We start from the raw sequence: 11,144 nt of genomic DNA, 5'->3' as shown, positions 1-11,144 counted from the left end.
TTGAATTACACCTTGCCCTGCAGGATAGAAGCTGTGATCATACTCGATTTGCTATTCGAATGCTTATATAAATAATAGAATACTTCCTGCCTGTGTCTACCTCAGTTTTTTTCTCCAAGAAAATAGGAGTGATTTGCTTATATTTCCAGCTGTGGATGGCCAGATTTACATGGTAGAGAGGGAACTAGGTCACAGAAACCACTTAGGTTATCTACAGGGAGACCTGCATCTCAGCACCGATAAATGTTGCCCCTTGGTGAGATGCTTTCTAGCACCCTACTCAGTGTGTTGCACATAAGGAGTGGATTCAGTGGCTACTCTCTCCTGATTCTCAGCCCTCTGGTTTTTCTGTGTGTCAGCCTCATACAGAATGCTTTCCTTAAATTGTCTCCCCTGAGCTTCATACAATTTAGTCGTGTCCTAAATAACTAAGAAGTGGAAAATGGATGCACAGGAATTGGCATTTTCTGCCAGGCAACTGGAAACAGTGTGCCATCAAGTTGTGAAACCAAATTGAAAGTCGGTGTGGATAATGTAAAGTCACAGGAAGCTAGAGGTCAAGCAGAGAACAAGTCCAAATGTGCTCACTCCTGAAGGCCAGAAGCCTACAAACCTACAGAATTCTAGGATCCGACAGGTAGAAAGGACTTCAAAAGTCAGCTAGTAACTTCTAGTTTCCATAGAACAATCCCTTCTGCACTGCCAGAGCAAAAGGCCATCCAGGCCTTTCTGGAGCACGTTCATTGAAGGAAGAAAATGTAGGCTGTAGTATCTCTTATCTTTAGAATATAACTCACCAAATCTATGTGTAGTAACTGAAGCCAAAGAGATCATATGTGTATTAACATTACATTTTGAGGGGTAGACAAAAATGAAATCTATTTCAATATACAAAGGCAAAAAATTATTGAGGCAATGACCAAATTAGATGAATTAAAATATACAGCTTTACCTGAAATACATGTACTATTTAATGCCTAATACTGGGAGAATTAATCACACTTTCTGTTTTCTTTCTAAAACAACATTAGAAATAAAAACAATTCTTCCTTACTTCTAAAACTCCATCTTGCATTATACTTTTTTAAAAACTGACACACAGTAAGAAATACATTTTTTATCACATCCTGATACAATACACACATACAGCTGAGATGAAAACAAAAGCATCCCAGAATAATATTTGCCCCAAATATTGACATCACCTGATGTTTTCCATTATTTTCTATTCTATTCTACTTTTTTGTTGTTCTTTCATATCTTCAAAACCTTAATTCTTGTTCACATTAAGTGTACATTCTAAGTCAGCTGTGACTCTGCTACATACTGTCTTCAATAAGAACCTAGCTGATGGAATAGGTTCTATGTTAAACATTATTCTTTCTTGTGGCACAAAAAAATGAGAGGTCATGGAAAGACTATATGCCAATAACTTAAGTCTTTTGTTCAGAAATGAAACACATCATTCTACCTACATACCATTCGCCAAAGCAAACCACATGTCTAAGTGTGATGTTATTGAGTTGGGGAAACATAATTCATCTTCAGTGATGAATCACAAATATTTGTGAAAAATGGTGCAGCCTAACTCAGTGCTTTAACATACATACATAATTTAATATAAGTATTAAAGCCATGCTGATATTAAGTTTGATTCTCCCTATTTAAATGATAAAAAATGAGGCTCATTGACCATAGAACTATTAAATGACATAGCCTATATTCAGAGCAGTTCTAAGATATATATAGCCCATTTTCATAACGTATCCTGCATATGTTTTTAATCAGATCCCAATAGACTAAGTTTTTTTTTTCAAAGATCTCTTAAAAACTAATTGTGGTACTAAAAACATAAACATGATTTTCTTATCCTGTTATTTAAAAACATTTATTGTCACAATCACTTGTAAAGGACTCAGGTCTACAATTTGGAAAATACCATTCTATGGAAGTTCAAAGAGATTCAGAATATAGAGAAACATCTTTGTTTTTCATAATGACTGATTCTCAGAAAAATAATATTGAATTGAGAAACTAATATTACAGAGCCATGAGATACTAGAAGTGCTGGAACTAACACTGAAATAAATTCTACAGACAAATGGTAGTTAAATCTTATCTCAGAAAAAGACTTGTCTAAATTAAAGCCAATTTTTATGCAAGATACCTGTCTGTAAATATTCATGATGGAAAAGTAGAATTAAAAAATCCCTGCTAAAATAAATTGTTAGCAATTTTCTGTTTTCCTGCATTTTTATTAGAAGACACCTTTGAATAATAATAATTCGTAGCCCTCTATGAACACTTACAATGGGTGAAGCCCTGTTCTAACTGCTTTCCATATTTTATTGTAATTAATCTACACAACAACTTATGAGGCAAAGACTGTTGTCTCCATTTGACAAATAGAAGAACAGAAAGGGAAAGATTAATGTGCTTATGATCACTCGGCCACTGAATAGCAGAGCCAGGGTCACACCCACACACTCAGGCTCTAGAGATTATGTTCTTTTTAAAAATATTGTGATAATGCACCACATAATATAAAATTTACTGTTTTAATCATTTTGAAGTGTACAGTCAGTGGCATTAAGTATACTCACATTATTGTGCAACCATAACCATCTATCTCCAGAACTCTTTTCACCTTACAAAACTGAAATTCTCTATCTGTTAAATAACTCCTTATTCTCTCTTACCTCCAGCCCCTTTCTGCTGAAATACCATTCTACTTTCTATCTCTATAAACTGGATTATTCTAGATACCTCATTTAAGAGGAATTATACAATATTTGTTATTTTGTGACTAGCTAATTTCACATAGCATAATGTCTTCAAGGTTCATCCATGTTGTAGCATATTTCAGAACTGCCTTCCTTTAGAAGGTTGCATAATATTCATTATATATATATAAATGTGATATATATATATATTTGCCCCAAATATTGACAAATATAATATTTGCCCCAAATATTGACATCACCTGATGTTTTCCATTATTTTCTATTCTATTCTACTTTTTTGTTGTTCTTTCATATCTTCAAAACCTTAATTCTTGTTAACATTAAGTGTACATTCTAAGTCAGCTGTGACTCTGCTACATACTGTCTTCAATAAGACCCTAGTGTGTATATATATATATACCACATTTTGTTTATCTATTTATCCATCAATAATACTTGAGTTTCTTCCAATTTTGGCTATTGTACATAATGTTTCTATGAACATGGGTGTACAAATATCTCTTAAGATTGCTGCTTACAATTCTTTTGGGTATCGGAATTGCTGGATCATACGGTCATTCTGTTTTTAATTTTTGAGGAACTGCCATACTGTTTTCTATAGCAGATGCACAATTTGACATGTCTACAATAGTGTCCAAGGTTGTCAAATTCTCCTAATCCTCACCAAAACTGCCTATATTTTGTTTGCTTTTTAAACTAATAGTCATTCTAATGTATATAAATTGGTATCTCATTATGGTTTTGATTGCATTTCCCTAATGATTATTGATGTTGAGTATCTTTTTTATGTATCTGATGTGTTCATGAATTTGCTTTGCATCTGTGCTTAATGGCCATTTGCATAGCTTCATTAGAGAAACTCCTATTTAAGTTATATGCCCATTTTTAATAGGATTATTAGCTTTTTGTTGTTGAGTTTCATGAATTCTTTTTGTACTGTGGATATTAATTCCTTATCAGATATGTGATTTGTAAATATTTTCTCCCATTCTATGGGTTGTCTTTTTACTCTGTTGATAATGTCTTTTGGCATACAAAATCTCTAAATTTTGGTGTCCAATTTGTCTATTTTTCCATTTGTTGCAACCTGTGTTTTAGGTGTTATATATCGAAACATTGCCAGATCCAGTGTCATGAAACTTTTTAATTATTTTGCCTTAAGCCTTTCTTCTATGAGTTGTTATAAATTTGGCCCTTACATTTAGGTTTTTGTTCAATTTTGAGTTAATTTTTGTATGTGGTGTTAGGTAAGGGACCAACTTTATTCTTTTGCATGTTGATGTCCAGATATCCCAAAACCATTTGTTGAAAAGATTGTCTGCTCTCCATTGTGTGGACTTGGTACCTTTATCAAAAATAATTTGATCACACATACAAGGGTTTATTTCTGGATTTTCCGTTCTATTCCATTGGTCTATATGTCTGTCTTTATGCCAGTACCACATTATTTTGTTTACTGTGGCTTTGTAGTAACTTTTGAAACAAGAAGTCTGAGACTCCAACTTTATGCTTCTTTTCCAAGATTGTTTTGACTATTTTGGTTTTCCTGAGATTCCACGTGAACTTTAAGATTGATTTGTTTATTTCTGAAAACAAAAACAAAAACAAAAACACTGTCTTGGTCCATTTTGTGTTGCTGAAACAGAATATTTGAGACTAGGTAATTTATAAAGAAAAGAGATTTACTTAGCTCACGTTCTGAAGACTGACAAAGACTGGGCAGCTTATCTGGTAAGGGCCTGGTGCTGCTTAAATTTATAGTGGAAAGCAGAAGGGGAAGACTTTTACAAAAAGAAAAATCACTACGGGGAACTTTGCTTTATAGCAATTAGCTCCCAGGGTAACTCGTCAAGTACCTTGAGAAGAAGAACTCACTTCCACAAGAGGGCATTAATCCATTCATTAGAAATCTGCTGTCATGACAAAAATGTCTCCCACTAGGCCCCACCTCCCAATACCTTATTGAAAATTGAGACCAGGCCTGGCACGGTGGTTTATGCTTGTAATCCCAGCAATTTGGGAAGACAAGATGGCAGATCACACTTGAGCTCAGGAGTTTGAGATTAGCCTGGACAACATAGCAAAACCCTGTCTCTACCAATAAATACAAAAATAAACCAGGGAGGTGGTGCATGCCTGTCGTCCCTGCTACTGGGAGGAGCTGAGGCATGAGGATCACTTGAGCCTGGGAGGCAGAGGTTGCTGTGAGCCATAATTGGGGCACTGTACTCCATTTTGGGCATCAGAGCTGCACCCTGTCTAAAATTTAAAAAAAAAAGAAAAGAAAAAGAAAATTGAATTTCAACATAAGTTTCAGAGAAGACAAACCATATTTAAATCATAGCAACATCATTGGGATTTGATAGGACTTCCATTAAATTTGTAAAACATTGAGGGAATTAATATAATAACAATATTAAGTCTTTCTATTCATAAATAGGAGATTTATTTTTCCATTTATTTGTGTCTTCTTTATTTTCTTTCAGCAATGTTTTGTAGTTTCCAATGTATAAGTCTCTCACCTCCCTGGTAAATTCTTAGGTATTTCTATTCTTTTGGATGTTATTGTAAGTGGAACTGTTTTCTAATTTTCTTTTCAGATTGTTCTTTGTTAGTGTATAGAAACATATTAGCTGATTTTTCTGTGTTGATTTTGCATCCTGATACTTTGCTAAATTTATTATTTGTAACAATTATTTTTGTGGAATTTTTAGGGGGTTCTATGTATAATATTATATTATCTGTGAACATAGATAATTTTATTCCATTCGCAATTTAAATAAATTTAATTTCTCATTTCTAATTTATCTGGCTAATATTTTCAATATTGTGTTGAATAGAAATGGCAAAAGCAGGCATCCTTGTGTTTTTTCTTATCTTAAAGGAACAGCTTTCATACTTATACCATTGAGAATGATGTTATCTGTGTGTTTGTTTGTTTTCATAATGGCTTCTATTATGTTGAGGTAGTTTCATTTTATTCCTAGTTTGTTGAGTGTTCATATCATGAAAAAGTGTTAAATTTTGTCAATTTTTTTCTGTGTCTGTTGAGATAATCATGTCATTGTTATGTTTTATTTTTTTCATTCTGCTAATGTGGTATATTAAATAGATTGAATTTGGAAATTGAATCATTCTTGCATTCCAGGAACAAACTCCAGCTGGTCATGTTGTATAATCCTTTAAATATGCTGTTGATTTTGGTTTGCTAGTATTTTTTAGAATTTTTCCATCAATATTCATCAGTAATATGTGTCTGTGGCATTTTTTTCTTGTAGTTCTTTATCTGGCTTTTGTATCAGCATAATGCTGTCCTCATCTAATGAGCCTGAAAATGCCCCCTCCTCTTCAGTTTTTTGGGAAGACTTTCAGAAAAACTAGTATGTTGGTGCTTCCTTAAATGTTTGCTAGAATTGGCCGGGCGCGGTGGCTCACGCCTGTAATCCTAGCACTTTGGGAGGCCGAGGTGGGCGGATCACGAGGTCAGGAGATCGAGACCATCCTTGCTAACACGGTGAGACCCCATCTCTACTAAAAATACAAAAAATTAGCCGGGCGTAGTGGCAGACGCCTGTAGTCCCAGCTACTCAGGAGGCTAAGGCAGGAGAATTGCGTGAACCCGGGAGGCAGAGCTTTCAGTGAGCCGAGATTGCACCACTTCACTCCAGCCTGGGTGACAGGGCGAGACTCCGTCTCAAAAAAAAAAAAAATGTTTGCTAGAATTTATCAGTGAATTCAACAGGTCCAGGGATTTTGTTTGTCAGATTTTTAAATTATTGATTCTGTTGCCTTACTAGTTTTAGATTGATTCAGATTTTCTATTTCTTTATGATTCATATTTTTATGTTTAATGTTGCTAAGAATTTGTTCATTTTATCTAGGTTATGCAATTTTTTGGCAAACAGTTATTCATAATACTGTCTTATAATCCTTTTGACCTCTGTAGAATAAGTGCAATGTCCTAACATTTATTCCTGATTTTGACAATTTAAGTTTTCTCTCTTTCTCTTAGTCAATCTAGGTAAAGATTTTCCATTTTTCTAATCATTTTTAAAGAATCAAATTTGGATTTCTTGAATTTTCTCTATTGTTTTCTGTTCTTTATAGATCGCAGCTCTAATCATTATTTTCTTCATTCTGCTAGCTGTGGATTTTATGTTGTTTATTTTTATTATTAATATTATTAATAATATAATTATTCCTTTTGTATTTCCCTAAGTTGTAAAGTCAGGTGTTAATTTGGGATTTATTTTTCTTTTTAAATGTGCTTATTACTATAAATTTTCTCCTTGATATCACTGTTGTTTCATCCCAGAAGTTTTGGTATATTGTGTTTTTATTTCATTGTGATTTATTACTTGGCCCTATTATTATTTAAGCATGCTTTGTTTAATTTCCACACATTTATAATTTTTTTCAGTTTTTCTTAGTTATTGATTTCTAATTTCATTTAATTGTGGTTGGAAAACATACTTTTCTTAGTATATATCTTTTTATTCCCATTGAGACTTAATTTGTGACCTAACATGTCTATTCTGAAAAATATGTCATGTACACTTGAGAAGAATATGTGTTCTGTTGTTGTTGAGTACAGTATTCTGTGTATATCTGTCACACATAGTTAATTTTATTGTGCTATTCAAGCCTCTCCCTACCCTTTTGGTTTTAATTTACCTCTGTGTGGTTGTCCTATACATTAATGAGAATAAGTTACTGAATTCTAATACTGTTATGGTAGAACTGCCTATCTCTCCCTTCAATTATATCATTTTTTGCTTCAGAAAATTTTTGACTGTCAATGCTTCAAATATTTTGATTGTCTATTATTATGTGCACAAATGTTTATAATTGTTATAAACATTTCTTGCTGCATTGAGCCTTTTGTTGTAATGCCCGTTTTTAATTGTAAACATTTTTTATTTAAAGTCTATTTTGTCTGATATTAATACTGTCATACCAGTTCTCTTTTGGTTACTATTTGCATGAATGTCTTTTTATATCTTTCACTTTCAACACGTTTGTGTCTTTGGATCTAAAATGAGTAGAGAACATATAATTGAAACATTTTTTAAAAAATGTATTCTTCCAATATCTCTTGATTGGAGAATTGAATTCATTTACATGTAAAATAATTACTAATGAGAAGTGCCTTACTTCTATCATTATGTTATTTGTTTTCTATATGTCCCATTGGGATTCCCCCTACCCAGCTTTCTTCTGCATATTACTTTCTTTTGCATTTAGCTGACTTTTTGTACTAAAACTTTTTAATTCCCTTTTCATTTCCTTTATTTATATTCTATAGCTACTTTCTTTGTAGTTACCATGAGATATTTAAGTTATAACAATTTAATTTGAACTCATATCAGCTTAGTTTCAATAAAATACTAAAGCCCTGTTTCAATATAGCTTCTTTATAACATTTTTCAGTTATTGATATCATAAAATTACTTATAATAGTTCTTATGCATTAGTATTTTAAATAATGTAAAAAAAGATGAAATTATAAACCTAAGTTGAAGCAATACTTACCTTTATAATTATCCATGAATTTATTTTGACCAGAAATCCTATTCTTTCACACAGCTTTGAGTTACTGTCTCAGTCCTTTTATTTCAACCTGAAAGAATTCCTTATGATTTTTTAAAGGGCATGCCTAGTTGTAATGAATTCCCTCAGCTTTTGTTTGTCTGGAAACACTTTTAAAAGATAGTTTTTTTTAAACTCACTTTTAAAAGATAGTTTTTTGAGATGCAAAGTTCTCATTCTTTGGGTTTTTTTTTTTTTCTTCAGCACTTTAAATATATCAACCCACTGCATTCTGGCTTCCAGGGCTTCTCATCAAAAATGTCCTGATCATATTATTATGGATCCCTTCTATGTAATGAGTCAATTCTTTCTTGCTGTTTTCAAGGTTCTCTCTTTGTCTTTGGCTATGACTGATTATAATGTGTCTTGGTGTGGAGTTCTTTGAGTTTATCCTACTTGGAATTTGTTGAACTTATTGGATATTTATATTTTGTCTTCTATTATATTTGGGAACTTTTCAACCATTATTTCTTCAAATAATCTTTGCCCCTTTCTCTTTTCTTCTCACAATGTGTATGCTGCTTCTCTTGACAGTGTCCCACAGACCCCTAAGCTTTGTTCACTTTTCTTTTTTAAAAAAATTGTTCCTAAAACTTGGTGATTTTAATAGTCCTGTCTTCAAATTCACTGATACTTTCTCCTGCCTGCTGTGTTTCTGGGACTCCTAAGTGAATTATTAATAACAATTGTTATAATTTTCAACTGGAGAATTTGGAATGGTAGGTCCTTTTTACATTTTCTTTTTATTTAGATTTTTATTTTGTCAACTTATTATTTTCTTGACTTTGTTAAAAATCTTCTTTTAACTCTTGAGTGTTTTTAGATCTTTTTCTAGTAAGGCTGCCATCTGGTATTTCTCAGGGATGATTTTTGTTGACCTTTTAAATCTTTTTTGAATTGATCTATTTTAATGTTTCCTGGTAATTTTTATTGAAAATTGGATATATTAATCTTTTAATGTAGTAACATCAGATATGAGAGTATCCCCCTTTCCCAGGGCTTATTGGTAGTTGTCATTTGATTTCTTGTAGGGGTTCTTGGTGCCAAGCCTGAGTGTAAACTTATGGTCTTCTCAGTTCTCTGCTTGTATATCTCTCCCTAGACATGTGATGTGACTTTCTAAATTATCCTTTATCTATGGTTGATTTTGAATATTCTAGTCCTTAATTTTCTGTCTCCCATAAGGAGAAAAAAAGAAAATGAAGGAGGAAAAGAATGCTGGACCATTAAATCTCCCAGATATCTCTTCAACCATAAAGAGAAAGAGAGAGGCTTGCAACATTTGTGGTAGGGGATGCAATGATGGCTGCCCACTTTTGTGTCTGCACCTCCACAATCAGAACCATCAATAAATTATCAGAAAGCAAGTCCCTAGTATTTAAAGGGTAGGGTCTTTATTGCCCATCCTGACTCCCACAAGCTACTTGTAAGTTCTTCTAAAAACACATGCACAGTCAGCTCCCATAAAGCTGTAAAGTGGAGAATAGGTAGCTGCTACTGCACTAAGAGTTGTACCTGGCTGACATTAACTGCGATTTAACATCCAAGCCTTCCTCTAGAAATCACAAACTTTTAATATATTCCACAGTACCAATACTGTTATATTGGAGAGATGCTGCCATTATAATTGCTGACTAAATGGGGAGTTGGATTCCTGGTGCTTCCTACATTGCCATCTTCCCTAAAATTACTCTTTAGAGAATATATTCTTGACCACTACACCACAATTTCCCATCAATGTATTTTTTCCTCCCCTGAACAAAATTAGCCAGTTGGCTTTGTTATAATTGGATATATGAGATACACAGGATAAAAATATTGTCCAGACTTTTCAAAATAAATCAAATCAACAAGGACTGTGTGGCCTACACTCAAGGCTCGAGCTGCTCTGTTAGCCTAGGAAGGATTTCAATTTTCCAGTTCTCTGTTCATGCTACTCTACTGCCTTGCGATGATCACTCTTTTCTCTTAGAGTTAAAATAGGTCTAACTATGTAAATAATTCATAAAGTTTACTTTGTATTCTCATTTTTCCTGAAATTCTATTAACAATATTCATTTCCCTTTCAACATCACAAAGGGATCTGGATGATATGGGAAAGGGAATGTTCTTTAACAAATGTCAATAACCTTTAAGTATAATTCTATTGATTCTATCTCCTGGATGTTCATCTGTCCTGCTCTTTACCATGACAAGTACTAGTGGTATCCTAAACCAGCCTTTCTTCATTTCTCTTTTAAATTTTGTTATTTATCTTCTAATTGCCTTTCTGTCTCCACTATCTCCTCCTCTAATTGGTCTTCTATACTAGCATAGTGTAATCTTTCAAAAACACATGTCTGATCACATCACTAGTCTGTTCAAAAATTATGTTCTTGGTATATGAGCACAAATGTTCACATAGTGTTGTCGTTGGTCACCATTAGTTTGATGCAGTGTGAGTCTCCATCTCTGGAGCTATGAATAGGTGATATGTGGAAAGCTACAGCCCACTGAAGATTATTGTCCTGTGGTTAGAAATAGGGAAACCAAGGTATAGAGAGTGGTAATGGTGGATTTAATAAATACTATGTTGAAAGAGACAAGTGAGAAACAGAACAAGATATATATATATAAATATATATGTATAAAATATGTATGTATGCATATTACATATAAAACAATATTAAATATATAATATTCTTGGAAAATGTTTAAATTTAATCATGAGAAAACAATTTAAAAAATTAAGTATGTGAACTTTCAAGAAGGCAGATGGCCTGTGTTCTTCAAAGATTTGATTTTATAAAAAACAAAATTAGGGGGAGGAGC

The 11,144-nt window shown here is 33.0% G+C and overlaps 1 long non-coding RNA gene across 1 annotated transcript in view; it reads right to left on the bottom strand.

Moving 5' to 3' along the window:
- LOC105377862 (uncharacterized) overlaps positions 1-11,144 on the bottom strand; it is a 322,839-nt gene that overhangs the window by 180,426 nt on the left and 131,269 nt on the right. The window lies entirely within an intron of this gene.

This window comes from Homo sapiens, chromosome 6 (assembly GCF_000001405.40).
Source record: "Homo sapiens chromosome 6, GRCh38.p14 Primary Assembly".
Taxonomy (NCBI): Eukaryota; Metazoa; Chordata; class Mammalia; order Primates; family Hominidae; genus Homo; species Homo sapiens.
This window is presented reverse-complemented; position numbering and strand designations above follow the sequence as displayed.